Source organism: Homo sapiens, chromosome 8, assembly GCF_000001405.40.
Source record: "Homo sapiens chromosome 8, GRCh38.p14 Primary Assembly".
Lineage (NCBI taxonomy): Eukaryota > Metazoa > Chordata > Mammalia > Primates > Hominidae > Homo > Homo sapiens.
In genome coordinates this window covers 71,811,603-71,833,510 of record NC_000008.11, presented here as the reverse complement: position 1 = coordinate 71,833,510, position 21,908 = coordinate 71,811,603, and the positions used below count along the sequence as shown (strand labels likewise).

Below are 21,908 nucleotides of genomic sequence, written 5' to 3'. Positions count from 1 at the left end.
GCCTTTAACTGATTCTGTTTCAGTTCTCCTCTGAAAAGGTTGGCCTCTTCAGAATTTTGAAAATCTCAAGGTATTGATTTGCATGAGAAGCAACACTTCTGGCTCATGCTGGGGGTGAGGGAATAGAGAGTAAAGTACATTTGCATGGTCAGGAGAGCTGGATAGAAAAGTGTGTAGATTGATGGTATGGCCACTATAACATATCAGGGTTAAAGCAACACCAACAATAGGCACTGACTCAGATGGACTCTCAGGATGCTCCTCTGCTTTTCAGGTCTCCTGGGGTGGATCCCAGAAGCTCTGCTCAGTCACTTCAGGGAATTATCCCCTGGTTGCTAGACTAACAACAGCCTGTGACAAAGGGAGGGAAATTTAAGACCCTATGACCAGAACTGTTTACTAGCAGGTCCAGGATTAGAATTCACAGACTCTGAGTTTCCCCTTGGCATCCAGCCCACCCAATCTGAAGGACACCAGCAGATAAGAATTTGGCACCATGACAGCTATTTCTCTGCAGCTGTTTTCCATGCACACTGGCCAAGTGCCCCGGAGCCCGCGTGGGGTTGCAAGTGGGGCGTTCTCAGAGCCTGACTTGTTGGGTGGCCTTGGGCAGTCTCTCCCTCTTCCAACTATGATTTCTCACCTAAAATGAGGGGTCTGGGCTGGATGGGGCCTTAACTGCACCATAGTTTTAAATGAATGCCCTGCTTACTGTGGGTCTTCAGAATAGCACTGATTATGTCTCCCTTTATTGCTAGTACATCACAATACGGGGAGGCTGAAAGCTTGAGAAAATGAACAAAGTCAACCTACACTTAAATGTTTTATGAGTTTGGTGCAAAAGTTACTGAGGTTTTTGCCATTACTTTCAATGGCAAAAACCTCAATTACTTTTGCACCAACCTAACAGATGAAACTCAAGCCATTCAGGTGTCTTTTGACTTGTTCTGCAGAAGATCTGTAATATCTCTACGTGATTTCACTGTTGATGATAAACTTTGCCACAGACTCTTCATTTCTGTGATAAGTATTTAATCTTACAAAGGTAGAAAACAACTTCTCCACATTATATGGAAACCAAATAAGCACAGAAATGATGGTACTTAAAACTGTTCTAGTCTCAAAACAAACTTTCATTAGTGTTTAAAAACCTGGCCAGGCACGGTGGCTCAAGCCTGTAATCCCAGCACTTTGGGAGGCCGAGGTGGGTGGATCATGAGGTCAGGAGATCGAAACCATCCTGGCTAACACGGTGAAACTCCGTCTCTACTAAAAATACACAAAAATTAGCCAGGCATGGTGGCGGGCACCTGTAGTCCCAGCTACTCGGGAGACTGAGGCAGGAGAACGGCGTGAACCCAGGAGGCGGAGCTTGCAGTGAGACGAGATCGTGCCACTGCACTCCAGCCTGGGCGACAGAAAGAGACTGTCTGAAAAAAAAACCCAAACACAAGATCTGTTCAGACCTTTTAAAAAGATTCTATGATTGAGTTTGGTTTGCTCCAGAGTAAAAATTATAGTGGAAAAACATCAGATCCAAATAAAAGAATCTTCAGGAAAAAGTATAATATATAAACAACTACTGGTTTTCTTCAAACTCCTGACAACCTAGGAGATGCTGAAATTTGACCTATCGTTTCAAGAATCTAGTGAGTTTTCCCTTTTTAGGTTAGGACATCTCCCTGTGACAATTTTCACCTTTCTCCAAGACTTCTCAAAATATACTGTTGTTGTTTCTATACTCGGACCTTTAAACCTGTCCCATATCCCGATATGTGATTCACCTGAGCACAGACTCATAGAAAGCTACTTTGTCTGGCAATGTGCAGAATAGATTGAACAGAGCACAAGTTGGACAGTCCAGGCAAAAGAAACTGAGGCCTAGGCTGAGACGATGGTGGTGGGAATACCAGGGATAGAGCCAAGAGACTTTTGACTGCTAGAATCAAATTAACTGGGTTATAGACTGGATGTGTGTGATGAAAGCCAGGGTAAAAGCCACAATGACTACAAGGTTTCTAATTCGGGCCAGACAGTGAATAGCAAAGTCATCATGAGTCATGATTTATCACTAAAATTTAAAAGGGCAAGTTTGAAACAGTACAGAATTGAGAAACTTTGCCATTCATTTGGGAACTCTACCATCCATTGGCCCATACAGATTCTTATCAAATTTGGTCTTACTCTGGGGACTTAGATTCTTTCAGAGGGGGTAAAATCATAACTGAAAGCTTAAAGAGAGAAGGGGTTTGTGCAGCTCAGAGACACAAAGCTTGGAAACAGGGCCCTTGCCTTGATCGCATGTGAGCATGCCTTTTTTCTTTCATTGGATTCTAAATATCTTCAGAGCAGGAATCATCATTTTTCATTTTGTGTCTTATGAAATTACAACCTCCATCTGTCTGGTACAAAGCAGATGATCAATAAATATTTAATAAATTTCTCTTGATAGAAAATAGTTATTGCTACTCTTTAGTTTAAATTCCTTCTCACTTGTAAAACGAGGGTGATTTGATTTGGGAAAGTCCATACCCTGGAACCACCCGAGATATGTAGTCATCACAGACAACTAAGAAAGTATGTCTAATTAGTCACTACCATTTGACACTACTATTTCTGCTGTACATAATCTGATGGTGCTAGGGAGCCCTCAGACAGAAAAAGAAGAGTATTGACTGAGTTCAGTAAAGTACTTTAAAATGTAAAGCTTTAAAATTGGAAGAGGCAAATTCATACTGTAAACACGCTAAGCACCATGCTATACGCTTTACAGATATCAGCCCTTTAATGCCTCTGATCAGGCCCATGAATAGGCCTGTGATAGTCTTGATTTATGGGTGGGAAAACAGGCTCTCAAAGCTTCAATAACCTTCCAAGGGCCACACAGGGAATAACTGGTGGAATCAGAGTTTAAATCTATTTCTCTCTAGCTAAGAATCTGAACCCAAAACCATTCCCTGAGCCTCCCCAAAAGTTGTCTGCTGGGGTGAAAGGAAGCTGGTGGGAAGATGGTGCCCACCGATGAGACTAACTGAACTTTAGGAGTTAACTCGGAACAACGGATGAGCCATAGAGCTATACCTCCTTCCGAGGGCTTGACACGGGACGAAAGCGCAGAAAGGAGTCAAGGCTGTCTGCTTCCTTGGCGGTGCCCACCAATGCAACCCAGGGAGTGGCACTTGTCTATAAACATATTTGTTTCTTTTTGGGTTTGCTTTCCTCTTTATTTTATAATGAAGATGATTTGAAAAACACCCAATTTATATGTGCTGAACTAAAAAGAAAATAGATCTATTCTCACTTAGGATTTTTAGCTCACAAAATTACATACTCCTGGAGAGCCCAGCAGTGGAGGCAGGGAGTGGCCAATCTGAAGATGAACAAAGAACTGCTCCTGGGAGAAACTGAGGTAGGGGAGCCAAGAAATGCCATGACCGAGGAGAAGCCCCAGTCTGCCTAGAAGAGCTGATCATTTTTGTTTGACCTTAATAGATACTTGCTTAAGTGAGTTATAGGAACAAACAATTTCCCACCAACAACAAGTGATCCACTTTTTTCCATCTTCACCAAAGACAGAAAAAGAGAAAACATGTGTGAATTGAAACATATAAGAAGTACAGTAGATTTAATGAAATTGCCAGAGAGAGGTTTTCTAACCGTCTAGGATTTGTGATGTAGAATTTGCGCAGTTAGGGAAGAATCTGTGGTACAGATTTCGTAGAATCATAAAGCCACAAAACTTTAGAGCTAGAAGGTATCTCATAAGTAATCTACTTTGGTTTATCATGGCATTCTAAAGATAATAAAAAACAAAGACTATATGGTTACTGTAATTACCTAACCGGGACTGTTGTGCAACAATGTAAAATTATGGCCCCAAATTATGCAATACCTAGGAAAATTTTATGAAATAAACAGGATAAGAAACTATAATTATAGCAATGACAATAAAAATCAAAATAATCTAATCATTTTAAAGATAAGGAAAATGAAACTGGATTTTTGGAAACTGGCTTCTCATCTGTCTTGGATTAGAGAAAGATGCTGCTTGAAAGTTTGGCTTTTTAAAAAAAAATCCCCTTGTCATTTAAGGTCATTTCTGGTCTGTCTTTTACTGGCTGACTTCTCTTTGTCTTCCTCCCCTAAACCCTTCCCACTCCCTCTGCCTTAACCTGCAGAATTAATTCTACCTCATCTATATTTGTGCAATACTTTACACACATCTTCATTTTTAAAGAAAAGTTATTAAAAGTACTATATGCCCCAAAATGCAAGAATGGTGTGGCATAAGAAAATCAGTCAATGTAATACACATTATAGAATGAAGGGGAAAACTCACACAATCATCTTCATCGACATAGAAAAGCATTTAACAAAATCCCACACTCTTTCACGATAAAAAACAAAACAAAACAAAACAGAAAACCAGGAGAAGGCAACTTCCCCAGCACCATAAGACGCCTTTATGCTAACATCAAACCCAATATGAAAGACTGAAAGCTTTCCCCCATAAGGTCAGGAACAAGACAAGGATGCCTGTTTTCACCATGACTATTCAACACTGCACTGGAAGTTCTCACCATAAAAAGGAAGGAAACACTGACACGTGCTACAACATGGATGAACCTTGAAAATATTATGCTAAGTGAAAGCAGGTAGACACACAAGGTCACACATTGTATGATTCCATTTATATAAAATATTCAGAATAGATCAATCCTTTGGGACAAAAACAGATTAGTTGTTGCCAGTTCAAGGAGGGAACATAGAAACTGTTTAATAGCTAAGGGGTTTTAGTTTGGAATGGTGACAATATTTTGAAACTTATAGAAATGGTGATTTCGTGACATTGGGAATATGCTAAATGCCAGTAAATTGTCTACTTTAAAATGGCAATTTTTTTTTAGCATTCCACAGTGTGATCCTTTACTACAGCAAGGTGGCTGATTATCAAAAACTGAGAAAAGCAAGAGTGAATACGTTAAAAAGGTTTGTTGCAGATACAAGAAGGTAAGCGGAGGCAAAGATAACTCAGTGCTAGAGGTCTGGATGTGGCTCCTCAAGGAGCTCCCTGCAGCCCGGCTCCTCCAGGATGGCGCTCTGCACACAACCCGGGCAGCATCTGCTTCCCCGGGAAAAGTTACCCATTGACATCAGCTGTGTTTAAGAGCTAATTTTTATGTTAGGTGAATTTCATGATGTAACCAAGTTCAAAAAAATGAGTCCTTTGAAACCCAAATTCAAGGGCGGTAAATATATGTCAATGGGTATTTCCCCACTATATTAAGTACTTACACGCTCATTGTTTCTGCTGTTTGGGGACCTCTCTGCAGCTCCAGCACTTTCCACAGGATTCAATAGGAAAAATAATTGAGCGCCACGCAGCCGGTCCCAGTAATAAAAAGACGTCATTAGCGCGCCATCTCGTGGTAAATATATAAGTTGCAGCAAACCCTCAGGCTGCAGATTTTTTTTTTTTTTTTTTTTTTTTTTTTTTTTTTTTTTTTGTTAAGACAGGGTTAAGCCTATGTTGCCCAGGCTGGAGTACAGTGGCACTATTATGGCTCACTGCATCCTTGACTTCCTGGGCTCCAGCGATCCTCCCACCTCAGCCTCCTGAGTAGCTGGGACAACAGGCATGAGCCACCACGCTAGTTGTTTATTTTTATTTTTTGTAGAGACAAGCTTCTCACTATATTGCTCAGGCTGGTCTCAAACTCCTGGACTCAAGTGATTTGCCTTCCTCGGCCTCCCAAAGTGCTGGGATTGCAGGCGTGAGGCACGGCACCCGACTAGGGAGCAGAGATGAACCCTGAGGTTACTTTCTGTCCTTTCCTCAAGCCAGAGTGGTTTAGGTCACTGGTCATGAATACAAGGATCGGGGTTGTACGCCTTCTCAAAGACCTCATGTTCCTTAACATCAAAATGCTCTGACTTATTCCAGATTCCTTAGGAAACAGCCTGAAGGAAAGCCATGAGTGCAGACTCCCTATGGAACCTGGTCACAGCTTCAGGACATCCTTGGGGAGGTGTCAGCAATCCCCCTGTACCAATGGTGATGGTGTGTAGGGGGGGTCCAGGGAACCTTTTCCCCTACAACCTTCAAGAAAGCAGCTGGTGGCAGGAGTCTTTCTAGAGCAAATACTGTGCAAGAGGGAATCCAAGAGGGCCGATAAGCTGGATTTCTGCACATGTGTCACTGTGTCAGGGGCATCCCCTGCACGGCCACCACTTCTGCCTGTGGGCCATCTGTGGCTTCTCAGGTCCCTTGTAGTAACTGCAACAGCGCTACTGTCATCACAGCTCTTCCAGAAGACAGCTCTGGGTGGTTCCCCACTACTGTATTTGTGAGATCCAAAGGTGTAGCTCTCTGTTGCCTTGTGGATCCGTTATATTTGCAGGCAGTGTTATAGTTCTGAGGGGATTTTGGAAGTGGTGGTTACTTCAACGAAGAGCTTGAGATGAGCATCTCATCTGAGCTTCACAAGTCCTCTGCGAGATAAATAAGGAAGATTATTATAATTCTCTCCATTTCATGCAAGTGTTAAACCCAGGCCTTGTCTTTGTTTAAGGATAGATATAGGCCAGGCACAGTGGCTCACGCTTGTAATCCCAGCACTTTGGGAGGCCGAGGCAGGTGGATCACGAGGTCAGGAGTTCGAGGCCAGCCTGGCCAATATGGTGAAACCACATTTCTACTAAAAATACAAAAATGAGTGGAGCCTGGTGGTGGGTGCCTGAATCCCAGCCACTCGAGAGGCTGAGGCAGGAGAATCGTTTGAACCTGGGTGGAGGGGCTTGCAGTGAGCCAAGATCGCCCCATTGTTCTCCAGCCTGGACGATAGGGTGAGACTCGGTCTCAAAAAAAAAAAAAAAAAAAAAAGCTATAAAGTAGCAGATTCACTTGCTGTGTCTTTCCAGAAATACAAGAACCATTCTACTTCTTCCCATGGAAAGCCTGCATTTCACACGTGTAATGATTCAAATCTGTGTTTTAAGATGAGAATAGGCAAAACAGTATCGTGCTCTGCTCACCTTCTCCACCTTCACTCTTCACTCAAGCCAAATTATGCTATTATTGATGGAAACACAAACAAAGACAATATATTTTTTAAATTATACTTTAAGTTTTAGGGTACATGTGCACAACGTGCAGGTTTGTTACATATGTATACATGTGCCATGTTGGTGTGCTGCACCCATTAACTCGTCATTTAACATTAGGTATATCTCCTAATGCTATCCCTCCCCCCTCCTCCCACCCCACAACAGGCCTCAGTGTGTGACGCTCCCCTACCTGTGTCCATGTGTTCTCATTGTTCAGTTCCCATCTATGAGTGAGAACATGTGGTGTTTGGTTTTTTCTCCTTGAGACAGTTTGCTGAGAATGATGGTTTGCAGCTTCATCCATGTCCCTACAAAGGACATGAACTCATCCTTTTTTATGGCTGCATAGTATTCCATGGTGTATATGTGCCACATTTTCTTAATCCAGTATAACATTGTTGGACATTGGGTTGGTTCCAAGTCTTTGCTATTGTGAATAGTGCCACAATAAACATACGTGTGCATGTGTCTTTATAGCAGCATGATTTATAATCCTTTGGGTATACGCCCAATAATGGATGGCTGGGTCAAATGGTATTTCTACTTCTAGATCCCTGAGGAATCGCCACACTGATTTCCACAATGGTTGAACTAGTTTACAGTCTCACCAACAGTGTAAAAGTGTTCCTATTTCTCCACATCCTCTCCAGCACCTGTTGTTTCCTGACTTTTTAATGATCGCCATTCTAACTGGTGTGAGATGGTATCTCATTGTGGTTTTGATGTGCATTTCTCTGATGGCCAGTGATGATGAGCATTTTTTCATGTGTCTTTTGGCTGCATAAATGTCTTCTTTTGAGAAGTGTCTGTTCATATCCTTCACCCACTTTTTGATGGGGTTGTTTGTTTTTTTCTTGTAAATGTGTTTGAGTTCATTGTGGATTCTGGATAATAGACCTTTGTCAGATGAGTAGATTGCAAAAATTTTCTCCCGTTCTGTAGGTTGCCTGTTCACTCTGATGGTAGTTTCTTTTGCTGTGCAGAAGCTCTTTAGTTTAATTAGATCCCATTTGTGAATTTTGGCTTTTGTTGCCATTGCTTTTGGCATTTTAGTCATGAAGTCCTCGCCCATGCCTATGTCCTGAATGGTATTGCCTAGGTTTGTTTCTAGGGTTTTTATGGTTTTAGGTCTAACATTTAAGTCTTTAATCCATCTTGAATTAATTTTTGTATAAGGTGTAAGGAAGGGATCCAGTTTCAGCTTTCTACATATGGCTAGCCAGTTTTCCCAGCACCATTTATTAAATAGGGAATCCTTTCCCCATTGCTTGTTTTTGTCAGGGTTGTCAAAGATCAGATGGTTGTAGATATGCGGCATTATTTCTGAGGGCTCTGTTCTGTTCCATTGGTCTATATCTCTGTTTTGGTACCAGTACCATGCTGTTTTGGTTACTGTAGCCTTGTAATATAGTTTGAAGTCAGGTAGCATGATGCCTCCAGCTTTGTTCTTTTGGCTTAGGATTGACTTGGCAATGCGGGCTCTTTTTTGGTTCCATATGAACTTTAAGGTAGTTTTTTCCATTTCTGTGAAGAAAGTCATTGGTAGCTTGATGGGGATGGCATTGAATCTATAAATTACCTTGGGCAGTATGGCCATTTTCACGATATTGATTCTTCCTACCCATGAGCATGGAACGTTATTCCATTTGTTTGTATCCTCTTTTATTTCATTGAGCAGTTATTTGTAGTTCTCCTTGAAGAGGTCCTTCACATCCCTTGTAAGTTGGATTCCTAGGTATTTTATTCTCTTTGAAGCAATTGTGAATGGGAGTTCACTCATGATTTGGCTCTCTGTTTGTCTGTTATTGGTGTATAAGAATGCTTGTGATTTTTGCACATTGATTTTGTATCCTGAGACTTTGCTGAAGTTGCCTATCAGCTTAAGGAGATTTTGGGCTGAGACGATAGGGTTTTCTAGATATACAATCATGTCATCTGCAAATAGGGACAATTTGACTTCCACTTTTCCTAATTGAATACCCTTTATTTCCTTCTTCTGCCTGATTGCCCTGGCCAGAACTTCCAACACTATGTTGAATAGGAGTGGTGAGAGAGGGCATCCCTTTCTTGTGCCAGTTTTCAAAGGGAATGCTTCCAGTTTTTGCCCATTCAGTATGATATTGGCTGTGGGTTTGTCATAGATAGCTCTTATTATTTTGAGATACATCCTATCAATACCTAATTTATTGAGAGTTTGTACCATGAAGTGTTGTTGAATTTTGTCAAAGGCCTTTTCTGCATCTATTGAGATAATCATGTGGTTTTTGACGTTGGTTCTGTTTATAGGCTGGATTACATTTACTGATTTGCGTAGGTTGAACCAGCCTTGCATCCCAGGGATGAAGCCCACTTGATCATGGTGGATAAGCTTTTTGATGTGCCGCTGGATTTGGTTTGCCAGTATTTTATTGAGGATTTTTGCATCGATGCTCATCAGGGATATTGGTCTAAAATTCTCTTTTTTGGTTGTGTCTCTGCCAGGCTTTGGTATCAGGATCATGCTGGCCTCATAAAATGAGTTAGGGAGGATTCCCTCTTTTTCTATTGATTGGAATAGTTTCAGAAGAAATGGTACCAGCTCCTCCTTGTACCTCTGGTAGAATTCGGCTGTGAATCCATCTGGTCCTGGACTTTTTTTGGTTGGTAAGCTATTAATGATTGCCTCATTTTCAGAGTCTGTTATTGGTCTATTCAGAGATTCAACTTCTTCCTGGTTTAGTCTTGGGAGGGTGTATGTGTCGAGGAATTTATCCATTTCTTCTAGATTTTCTAGTTTATTTGCATAGAGGTGTTTATAGTATTCTCTGATGGTAGTTTGTATTTCTGTGGGATCGGTGGTCATATCCCCTTTATCATTTTTTATTGCATCTATTTGATTCTTCTCTCTTTTCTTCTTTATTAGCCTTGCTAGCGGTCTATCAATTTTGTTGATCTTTTCAAAAAACCAGCTCCAGGGTTCACTGATTTTTTGAAGGGTTTTTTGTGTGTCTATTTCCTTCAGTTCTGCTCTGATCTTAGTTATTTCTTGCCTTCTGCTAGCTTTTGAATGTGTTTGCTCTTGCTTCTCTAGTTCTTTTAATTGTGATGTTAGGGTGTCAATTTTAGATCTTTCCTGCTTTCTCTTGTGGGCATTTAGAGCTATAAATTTCCCTCTACACACTGCTTTAAATGTGTCCCAAAGACTCTGGTATGTTGTGTCTTTGTTCTCGTTGATTTCAAAGAACATCTTTATTTCTGCCTTCATTTTGTTATGTACCCAGTAGTCATTCAGGAGCAGGTTGTTCAGTTTCATGTAGTTGAGCGGTTTTGAGTGAGTTTCTGAATACTGAGTTCTAGTTTGACTGCACTGCGGTCTGTGAAACAGTTTGTTATAATTTCTGTTCTTTTACATTTGCTGAGGAGTGCTTTACTTCCAACTCTGTGGACAATTTTGGAATAGGTGTGGTGTGGTTTTGAGAAGAATGTATATTCTGTTGATTTGGGGTGGAGAGTTCTGTAGATGTCTATTAGGTCCACTTGGTGCAGCTGAGTTCAATTCCTGGATATCCTTGTTAACTTTCTGTGTCGTTGATCTGTCTAATGTTGACAGTGGGGTGTTAAAGTCTCCCATTATTATTGTGTGGGAGTCTAAGTCTCTTTGTAGTTCTATAAGGACTTGCTTTATGAATCTGGGTGCTCCTGTATTGGGCGCATATGTATTTAGGATAGTTAGCTCTTCTTGTTGAATTGATCCCTTTACCATTATGTAATGGCCTTCTTTGTCTCTTTTGATCTTTGTTGGTTTAAAGTCTGTTTTATCACAGACTAGGATTGCAACCCCTGCCTTTTTTTGTTTTCCATTTCTTGGTAGATCTTCCTCCATCCCTTTATTTTGAGCCTATTTGTGTCTCTGCACATGGCATGGGTTTCCTGAATACAGCCCACTGATGGGTCTTGACTCTTTACCCAATTTGCCAGTCTGTGTCTTTTAATTGGAGCATTTAGCCCATTTACATTCAAGGTTAATGTTGTTATGTGTGAATTTGATCCTGTCATTATGATGTTAGCTGGTTAGTTTGTTCGTTAGTTGATGCAGTTTCTTCCTAGCCTCAATGGCCTTTACAATTTGGCATGTTTTTGCAGCGGCTGGTACCGGTTGTTCCTTTCCATGTTTAGTGCTTCCTTCAGGAGCTCTTGTAGGGCAGGCCTGGTGGTGACAAAATCTCTCAGCATTTGCTTGTCTGTAAAGGATTTTATTTCTCCTTCACTTATGAAGCTTAGTTTGGCTGGTTATGAAATTCTGGGTTGAAAATTCTTTTCTTTAAGAATGTTGAATATTGGCCCCTACTCTCTTCTGGCTTGTAGAGTTTCTGCCGAGAGATCCGCTGTTAGTCTGATGGGCTTCCCTTTGTGGGTAACCCAACCTTTCTCTCTGGCTGCCCTTAATAATTTTTTCTTCATTTCAACTTTGGTGAATTTGACAATTATGTGTCTTGGAGTTGCTCTTCTCAAGGAGTATCTTTGTGGCGTTCTCTGTATTTCCTGAATTTGAATGTTGGCCTGCCTTGCTAGATTGGGGAAGTTCTCCTGGGTAATATCCTGCAGAGTGTTTTCCAACTTGGTTCCATTCTCCTCATCACTTTCAGGTACACCAATCAGACGTAGATTTGGTCTTTTCACATAGTCCCATATTTCTTGGAGGCTTTTTTCGTTTCTTTTTATTCTTTTTTCTCTAAAGTTCTCTTCTCGTTTCATGTCATTCATTTGATCTTCCATCACTGATACCCTTTCTTCGAGTTGATCGAATTGGCTACTGAGGCTTGTGCATTCGTCACGTAGTTCTCGTGCCTTGGTTTTCAGCTCCATCAGGTCCTTTAAGGAATTCTCTGCATTGGTTATTCTAGTTAGCCATTCGTCTAATTTTTTTCAAGGTTTTTAACTTCTTTGCCATGGGTTCGAACATCCTCCTTTAGCTTGGAGTAGTTTGATCGTCTGAAGCCTTCTTCTCTCAACTCATTAAAGTCATTCTCCATCCAGCTTTGTTCTGTTGCTGGTGAGGAGCTGTGTTCCTTTGGAGGAGAGGAGGTGCTCTGAATTTTAGAGTTTCCAGTTTTTCTGCTCTGTTTTTTCCCCATCTTTGTGGTTTTTATCTACCTTTGGTCTTTGATGATGGTGATGTACAGATGGGGTTTTGGTGTGGATGTCCTTTCTGCTTGCTAGTTTTCCTTCTAACAGTCAGGACCCTCAGCTGCAGGTCTGTTGGTATTTGCTGGAGGTCCACTCCAGACCCTGTTTGCCTGGGTATCAGCAGCAGAGGCTGCAGAACAGGGGATATTGGTGAACAGCAAATGTTGCTGCCTAATCTTTCCTCTGGAAGTTTTGTCTCAGAGGAGTACCTGGCCATGTGAGGTGTCAGTCAGCCCCTACTGGGGGGTGCCTCCCAGTTAGGCTACTCGGGGGTCAGGGACCCACTTGAGGAGGCAGTCTGTCCACTCTCAGATCTCCAGCTGTGTGCTGGGATAACCACTACTCTCTTCAAAGCTGTCAGACAGGGACATTTAAGTCTGCAGAGGATTCTGCTGCCTTTTGTATGGTTATGCCCTGCCCCCAAAGGTGGAGTCTAGAGAGGCAAGCAGGCCTCCTTGAGCTGCGGTGGGCTCCACCCAGTTCGAGCTTCCCAGCCGCTTTGTTTACCTACTCAAGCCTCGGCAATGGTGGGCGCCCCTCCTCCAGCCTCGCTGACGCCTTGTAGTTTGATCTCAGACTGCTGTGCCAGCAATCAGAGAGGCTCTGTGGGTGTAGGACCCTCTGAGCCAGGTGCAGGATATAATCTCCTGGTGTGCCGTTTGCTAAGACCATTGGAAAAGCGCAGTATTAGGGTGGGAGTGACCCAATTTTCCAGGTGCCCTCTGTCACCCCTTTCTTTGAGTAGGAAAGGGAATTCCTTAACCCATTGTGCTTCCCGGGTGAGGTGATGCTTCTCTCTGCTTTGGCTCATGCTCGGTGCACTGCACCCACTGTCCTGCACCCACTCTCCAACACTCCCCAGTGAGATGAACCCAGTACCTCAGTTGGAAATGCAGAAATCACCCGTCTTCTGTGTCTCTCATGCTGGGAGCTGTAGACTGGAGCTGTTCCTATTCGGCCATCTTGGCTCCACCCCTCACAAAGACAATATTTTTAACATGTTTTCTTGCCCTTGGAGCAAAGAACAGCAAAGACTAGTTGACTTAATCTGATTTGAGGCAAAACTCTTGACAGGCATTAGTAACCTGAATGTATATTGCCCTCTTGTGGCCATAGTGTTATCACAGGAATGTAGGTGTGTCCATGAGAAAGAACTGTAGTAATTTGGGGAAACTGTTTGTATAATACTATGGTTGTTATTACGATGTACAGATTTTAATTGCTTCATTGTCCCACCATCAGCTATATACATACATACATAGGTACACAGACACACAACTCTGAATCCTATATTAACAAAAATGTGCACATGAATTTTTGGAAGTTTTCAAACTATAAGTAACATCTAAACAGCCCAGACCCCATGTTTTCTTCCTTGCTTATTTCTTAGGAAAAGGGCTCTTTGACAAGAATTTTGAGGTTTTTGTTTTTGAATACAGTTTTAATCTTATGTTTCCTTTTGGTGTAATCTGGAGCCATGGTTTCCAGACTTTTTGATTTCCCAGAAGAAAATTCCAAAAATATTACAAATGATATTGGTGATTTCAATTATTTTTGTTTTGCCAAATTAGACATTTAAAATAATTAGTTTCAAACTACTATCATCATAATTTCAAAAAATAAAGTGCATTCTAACATTCAGGAAAAAATGTAGGGGCGATGTGATGACTATTGTGGCTTCAGTTTTTCTCCCTAATGGCCATCACAGGTGGGCGGCAGGAGGTGAACATTTAGAAACCACTGAGTGATGGCACAAGCCAGGTGCATTGGGTTATTTTCCAGTTGACTGGTCATTAGCTAAAATTAAGACTGTATTGATATGAGACAAAGCACAGAGTGTAAATGTGGGTCTTCAAGGATTTCTCCCTTTCTACAAAAACCCTGTTTCTCCCTCCTTGCATCTCAGTTTGTACTGCTGTGGGGACTGCCAGTTCACAGGTTGCTATGGGTGTTTTCTCCACTCACACTGCCAGGCCCAGGCTTGGAACTGTCCCTTGGCTTGCCTGATGGCACCTTCTTGATTTCTTCCTCCTGCCCTGGCCACTTCTAGTTAGTCCCTTTTGCAGGCTCAGCATTCCTTGCCAGAGCCCAATGTAATCCCTATGATGATCATTTGAAGGCATGAAGACACCATCACATTCATCCTACGGATATTTTCCAAGCTGAGAACCATCAAGTCTTTCATCTGATCTTTATTCATCATTACACTCACTCTCTAGAGTCCTAGTTGCCCTCCCTTGGATGTGCTCAAATTTGCAGATGCCATTCTCAAGGAGCAACAGCATCAGGTACAACAGACCCTGCCTACTGCCTCCTTTGCTCTGTTTATTACATTCTTACTAATGCAGCCCAGGATTTTTGGGTTGACAAGCACATTATTTTCCATTTTTATTGACTTAATTTAATTGTTCTTCACACATTTCACTGTCAATCTCTTTAATCTCTCCTCGTACCGTTGTTGCATCTTATCTCAATTTTGTAGCTTTGCACATATGTTCATGTTAAACTAGCAAAATTAAAATGGCCTTTAAATTTCTTTCGTCGTGGGCCCCAATTAAATTAACTTTGGGATATCTACCCACTGGGTGTGAAGTTCTATTAATTTCTCAAATTTGCTTCCCTGTTTGGGAGGCTGAAGGAAAATGTGCCTTGAAGAAGATTTCCATAGTTCAGCAGCAGTTTGGGTATTTGACAGAGAACAGAGGAGCTCGGCTTATTTTAAACACTGGAAATTGCCTCATCAAAAGAAATCCTAGACAACAAAAATACTTTGCCTCTCTGATGGAATAAAGGTGTATTTGTTTCCTAGGACTGTTACAAATTATTATAAACTCGGTGGCTTAAAATAACAGAAATTTATTTCTCTCTCATAGTCCTAGAGGCTAGAATCTGAAATCAAATGTCAGCAGGGCCGAGCTTCTCCTGACAGCTCTTGAGGAGGGGCCTTCTGTTTCTTTCAGCTTTTGGTGGCCCCAAGCATTCCCTGGCTTCTGGCTGCACAATTCCACTCTCTGCCTCCATCTCCACGTGGCTGCTGTCTTTTGTAAGACACTTGTCATCAGATTTAAGGCCCACCTGGATAATCTAGGATGATCTCATCTTGATATCCATAATTTAATTATATCAGCAAAGAAGACTTTTTTTACCAAACAAGTTCACATGTACAAGGTCCAGGGAGTAGGATGTAACATTTCTTGGGGGCCCCCATTCCACCTACCACAATAGGCCATCCTATTGCCTCGAGTTACATGGTTACCAAGGATTCTGGGGCTTGGCTATGTAGTCTTAGTTTTAAAGCCCATCAGTCACCACCAGTTACTCACCCCACCTCACAGTTTCTTTTTCTTTTCTTCTGTTGCATCTAGCTTGTTGAATCTCCCTAGGGTTGGTGAAGTTGGATTTTTTGACACAGAAAATAAATTTTCTGTGTGGTCTCCAAACAAGCTATCGGAACTCAATTTCAATTTCTGATCTGTCCTTGTTACTGAGCAGTTGTATTGTGACAGTAAAAGTTTTGTGGGTCTAGCATGAATGACATTATCACTAGGAACATCCTAGGCTGCATATGTACAGAGGCCTGAGAAGTGAATACCACAGAGTCAAGTTTTCACCTGATGTAAATTGTGAGTTTGGTTTCTGGATGGGGAACGTTTATTAGGTATGAGTTTTACAAATATCTTCCCCTCTTCTGATGCCTGTTCTTTCCCCTTCTATCAATTCATCACCTTTTTGAATGGTATTCTTTGAGGAACAGAAATTTGTAATTTTACTGTAAGCAAATATATTTTTATTGTTATGCAGCAAGGAATAAGTTTCAGAAACATACAACATAATAATGCTATGTATAGAGAATTTAAACACAGGCAAAGAAATGCCATATGTTGCTTGGAGATACACTCATATGTAGCAAAAGTGGAAAAAAAGTGCATAGGAATAGAGCACCAAATTCAGGTTGGTGGCAAGAAATGGGTGCAATTCAGGACAGAAACACAAAGAACACTAAAGTTACTATTAATATTTTTGGTTTTTAAGCTGAATGGCAAATTTAAAATTAAAGAAGTTTGGAATTCACTACCTCTTCTCCTGCTGGCTTTTTCTACTTGGGGGGAATGTGTTAACTTATAGAATCATTAATGTCACTTTCAAGCTTAACATCAGTTTTGGCACTGAACATGCAACAACGCTCTCTATCTGTGAATTCTGATGGGGCATGAGAACTGCACCAACTTAATCACTGCTTACTTCTTCTGTGTTATTGGGGAAAATTGTGGGGTATATGGAAAAGGGAAAGAAAGCTTTCCTTTATTGACGTATATTTCATAAAGATTTTCCATTCATAAATATTATATACTGTGCTTCTAGAACAAAAGTTGAAAGTGATCATTTGGTAGTGAATTTTGTAGACAGATATCATTAATTTGTCTTTTCTTTTTCTTGTTTCATTTATCCCCAGTAAACACTCTATGTGCAGTTGAGACATTCTCCTTGGGATGGATTCTTATCTCACAAAATGCTCACATGCCTTTTTCCTGACTTCAGTTGGGAGAAGCAGACTTTCACAAAGAAAATCCCCTCTGAAGGCTGAGCAGAAACAGGTGCCTGTGTCCTCTCTAAAAGTTGTATTTTGGTGCCGTAGTAAATCAAGTCAACAATTAAATGAACACGTATTGAGCACCTGCTTCTGAGGTGCTTAGCACCAGATATGCTCTCTGTCCTCAGGAGTGTTCACTCTGGTTAGGGAAGAGTGAGGAAGGAAGGGTAATATTACTATAGACTAAATGCTTTTACCCACCCAAAATTTGTATATTGAAGCCCTAATCCCCAATGTGATGGTATTTTGAGCTAAGGCCTTTGGGAGGTGATTAGGTCATGAGGGTGGAGCCATCATTATGAACTTAATGCTCTTAGAAGGAGGAACATGACAGCTCTCTCTCTCTCTGTCTTCTCTTCTATGCCCTTCTCTCTCTCTGTCGTGTGAGAAAACTAGAAAGAGAGCCCTTACTAGAACCTGACCATGCTTGATCTCAGACTGTCAAGTCTCCAGATGTCTGTTGTTTTAGACACCCAATCTGTGGTATTTCGTTATAACAACCTGAGCTAAGACAAACATGTACAGCAATTCTTATAAAGGCAGATATGCTAAATTCAAGCTTCCTTCATTTTATTCTCATTTTCTCAATACCTTTCCTCCTTACCTAAGATTAATACCCAGAAGCCAATGCCAACTCTTCTAGTCAAGGGCACTGAATAACTCTCAAGGGCCATTGGGTATTTGCCCAGTGGCTTGTGAGTGACCTGCAGTGCTTCTACTTTCAAAAGGGCAGAGACACAGTGTATCACAACAACTCTAGCAATTCCACACAATAACTTTCTCTCTTCAAAAGGAATTGCTGAAGAGTGAATTGCTCATTGGACAAGTCAGACCCAGCTCTAACTTGGTCAACTGGTTTGCTCCCTGAGAATAACTAGGTGGATTTTCCCATTGGTTATTGCCAAATTGGAAGGATGTTGGTGCGGCTTTAATGATCCCTAGAGTGGCTAAATTGTTTTAGGAAAAGATGGACTGTGGAAGGACTTGCTCATTCTGTTGAGCATTTAAAAGAGATGCATTATCCACAGGTGAGATCATCCTTACCTGTTCCTTCTTTTGGAGGGCAGAGTTCACGATGACTAGAGTTTACATGATATGTGATTAATTCTCTGCATAATCAGGATTTGCAACATTCTGTTTGCTCCTACCTGATTCTTTCTGAAGAAGAAAAGAATAAATTTAAAAATAAGTGTATTATCATGGAGCATTGAGAATCATCCACAAGTGTAACTTTGGTTAATTAAAAATCTTTTGTTAAAAATATACATACATATATAATTATGAAAATCATAATAGTTAAAATAATGAAAATAATAATTAGAATCAAGTACTTGGTTTTAATATATATACAAGCAGGTAAATAACAATTAAGAATAGTAATTACTGAATGCTAGAACCATGCTGAAGTTGTTTCATAGGTTATTTTCATTGAATTCTTACAATAACTTTCTGGGGTGAAAAATATTTATCCACATTTCACAATGAAATAAAACAAGATTCTGGGAAGTTAAATTAAATGCCAAGGGCTGGGCGTGGTGGCTCACGTCTGTAATCCCAGCACTTTGGGAGGCCGAGGCGGGTGGATCACTTGAGGTCAGAAGTTCAAGACAAACCTGCCCAACATGGTGAAACCCCGTCTCTACTAAAAATATAAAAAATTAGCCAGGCATGGTGGCAGGCGCCTGTAGTCCCAGGTCCTCGTGAGGCTGAGACAGGAGAATGGCGCGAACCCGGGAGGCGGAGCTTGCAGTGAGCCGAGATCGCGCCACTGCACTTGAGCCTGGGTGACAGAGCGAGACTCCGTCTCAAAAACAAACAAACAAACAAAAAAATTAGCCAGTCCTGGTGGCACGCCTGTAATCTCAGTTACTTACTTAGAAGTCTGAGGCAGGAGGATTGCTTGAACCCGAGAGGCAGAGGTTGCAGTGAGCTGAGATTGCGCCACTGCAATCCAGCCTGGGTGACAGAACGAGACTCTGTCAAAAAAAAAGAAAAAAAAAAAAAAAGGCCCAAGAGCCTGGAACTGCTGAGTGCTAGAGTTGAGATTTAAACCCAGGCTACCTTACTTCATGTTCATGCTTTGACTACTTCACTTCACTGCCTTCTCCAGAGGATTTCTCCCCAAAGAACCTTGCTTTTGTGCATAGCTCTTAGTTCAGAGGGGCACTAAGGAAGAGAAAATGTCATATTTGCTTATCAAAGAAGTTATTGGGAAATCTAGCCAAATGGGTAAAGAAGTATATCAGTCATGAGGAAAAGAAGAATTGGCAATGAAGGAAACTGGCCAATCTTATCTTCACACTTATCTCTTCATGGGTCCGTGGCTTGCTGTGCCCTCTCCTCGTCCCACTCACTCTTTGCACCGCTGAAGAAATCATCAGTAATATTCTTCAGACTCAATATTTGTTAAGTGCCTCTGTCTTGCAATTAATAATTTCTATGAACATTAATCACTGGATATCTGACATGCTTCAGTTCAAAGACTATGGCCCAAGTGTTTATGAGCCATTTCCATAAAACAAGAAATGGCTGGTTTTACCTGAATAGTTGCCCTTAAATCCCTTAAAAATCACAGGGTGTATGTTTTTACCTGGTTTAATAGATGAAGGACTATAGTTTTTGCTTCCTGATCCCAAATTTCAATGAGTTTTCAAAGAAAGGCTCATAGACATGGCTGTATCCATGCACAAAACTCCGAAGGTATGTTTCTTCATAAGATCACTGTAAGTTGGGGGCTTGAAACCTGAGACAGATTTTAAAAGTCACTCTTCTCCTCCCTTTCTGTTTGACTACTTGTCTTCCTATTTTCTGTCTTATTAATAGTACTAGCTAATATTCCTTGAGTGTTATATTGTACCAGACCCTAAGCCTAGAGGCATGAGCTCTCAGAACAACCCTATGGGATGGGTACACTTGAAAAGATTGCTGCTTAGAGACCTTCAGTCACTTGCCCCAAATGACACAGCAGCAAGTCAGTGGCAGCACCTTTGCCTGAGCTCAGTGTTTCACTCCAGAGCCTGCACTCCCAGTCACTCATGCTGCTGCTCCCCCTCAAAGGCTGGAACTTTATAGCTTTTAGCATTTCTCCTTTACCCCTTGTCTCATTAGTCCTGGGAAGCATTGTTGGGGAGTATGGATTTCACACCCGGCATGAAAGAAAAAGGGCTTCGTGAGTAAAGTGAGAGAAGTGTGAGAACATTCCATGCAATCAGGGCAGCTACTTTGGTAGTTCTAAGGACGTGAACTTTCATCAGCTCTGTGATCCCAAGTTCAGGGACGAGGTGAATGCAGGAAAGGAAAGGGGAGGCGAGGCTATGGGGTTGGACCTAGAGTCATTCGTGTTGACTCCTCCTGTGGACTGTGTTTCTCAACCCTTTAAAGCAAAAATCAACCAAATTCAATCTGCACTTCAAAAAGGTTTTGCAATGAGCCACTCATTTTATTTATTCATTCAGCATGCATCTTGACCCAGCAATTAGATATAAGGTACTATGCTTAACATGAGAAATATCAAAAGGAATAGAACGTGTGCCCGACATAAAGGAGCTGTCACCCAGTGAGGATGGTGAACGGAAGGGCAATGTAAAGTGATAACAAACAGCATGGCTTAGAGAAGGAAAGGAAATGGGTTGACATCTGCAACCCAAACACACAAGCTGCGTAATCACAGGCAAACCATGTAACTCCTCTAACCCTCAGTTTCCACATCTATACAATTTCACACTTATGAATGGGGGGATTGGAAATAATGCTTATGAGATATATCACAGAGTTCCTATCATGGTATCCAAAGTCAACAACGTTAGCTGTTATGGTCATTATGTCAAGAAATAGTTGCCTTTTATTATAAGTCCTATAATGGAGGTACATTTTATCATGGAAAACAAATTCTGCGATGATAAGGAAGATGTCCCAAAGCATCAAAAGATTTGATACAAGATGTAAATAATTATACGTTTGACAGGCAAACAAAATGGGAAGTGAGAGGCATTCTAGACAAAAGCAATAGCTTCTGCAAAGGCAGAAGGATTGAAGTGGATGATTGTGTTGTGCTCAGGGGTTGGCAGTTTGGGGGAAGAGTGTGGAAAAAATGGAGAGGGAGCCTGCAGCAGGACCTCGTGAGTCCTGTGGTCCTCGCTGAGAAGTCTCTTTCCTAGCAAGTCCCTGGAGGTCATGGAATGGATAAAGTTGCAATAGTATCTGCTACACTTCAAAAAAATTGATGGAAATAATTTTAGGTTAACAAAGAAGATTTATAAAACCACAAAGATTGTTATTTTCCAAAAGGAAAGCACCCTATGGCAACACGCTTTGACTGTTTGCCAAAGGATAAAATATTTTCCATGGTGAGAGAAAGGAGAAGGCTGAAGGCTAAATGATCATTCTGCTAAATATATCAATTCATTGTATTCTTTCCTGTATTAATTGTATGATCTTTCTCCAGTTGATTTCTTACACCCAAAACACAAGAAAAATTTAAACCTCAGCAAGCAAAACAAGAATGACATTTGATGCACTGTGCCACTTTCCTGAGTTGCCTTTGGAAAAGGATGTGGCAGTGAGCCCAGTGAAAGTTGTTCTGGCTGAACCACTCAGATTTTTTTTTTTTAATGAAATCCACAAAGATCTTAACACTTGCAGTGTTTCTACTGTTGTCACTCCCTCATGCCAATAGCTTTGGATTTTAAATGACTTGTAAATGAAATACCAATTTGGGAGGCCAAAAAATAATCCTGTGAGTGCAATATAATATTTATTCCTAGTACAAAGTGACCTCCCATAAGGAATATGAATCTCTTTGATGTTCTTGCAGTGTTGGCATGAAAAAAGGGGCAGGCTGTTGGCTACTGTTGTTTATCAGTACTAGAATCCATTTTGGCTGGAAGATGTAAGAGGAAATCACTGAAAAATATAAAAGAGTGAATAAATGAAAATGGGGTTTTTCTTGTTGAATTTTCAACTTAAATTAGGATATATCCAACATTTTTTTTACATTAAGTATATGTTGTTTAGCCCTTATGAAAACTTTCTGAAAAGTGGAAGG

At 41.1% G+C, this 21,908-nt stretch overlaps 1 non-coding gene across 1 annotated transcript, besides 4 other annotated features; it reads left to right on the top strand.

The window, feature by feature from the left end:
- Positions 290 to 339: an enhancer, noted in NCBI's record as "active region_27519". NCBI's record gives its function as "activates an Ori minimal core promoter by ATAC-STARR-seq in GM12878 lymphoblastoid cells {active_cell/tissue: GM12878}" and the evidence as "EXISTENCE:reporter gene assay evidence [ECO:0000049][PMID:35858748]".
- Positions 1,771 to 2,970: an enhancer, noted in NCBI's record as "MED14-independent group 3 enhancer chr8:72742776-72743975 (GRCh37/hg19 assembly coordinates)". NCBI's record gives its function as "activates an origin of replication core promoter dependent on BRD2, BRD4, P300/CBP and CDK7 cofactors, and independent of MED14, by STARR-seq in HCT116 cells {active_cell/tissue: HCT116}" and the evidence as "EXISTENCE:reporter gene assay evidence [ECO:0000049][PMID:35650434]".
- Positions 2,015 to 2,194: an enhancer, noted in NCBI's record as "active region_27518". NCBI's record gives its function as "activates an Ori minimal core promoter by ATAC-STARR-seq in GM12878 lymphoblastoid cells {active_cell/tissue: GM12878}" and the evidence as "EXISTENCE:reporter gene assay evidence [ECO:0000049][PMID:35858748]".
- Positions 6,145 to 6,204: an enhancer, noted in NCBI's record as "active region_27517". NCBI's record gives its function as "activates an Ori minimal core promoter by ATAC-STARR-seq in GM12878 lymphoblastoid cells {active_cell/tissue: GM12878}" and the evidence as "EXISTENCE:reporter gene assay evidence [ECO:0000049][PMID:35858748]".
- Positions 17,886 to 18,017, top strand: LOC124900257 (U8 small nucleolar RNA). The gene has a single exon (XR_007061199.1). It is a non-coding gene; the product is annotated as a U8 small nucleolar RNA (small nucleolar RNA).
- Positions 18,018 to 21,908: the final 3,891 nt, after the last annotated feature.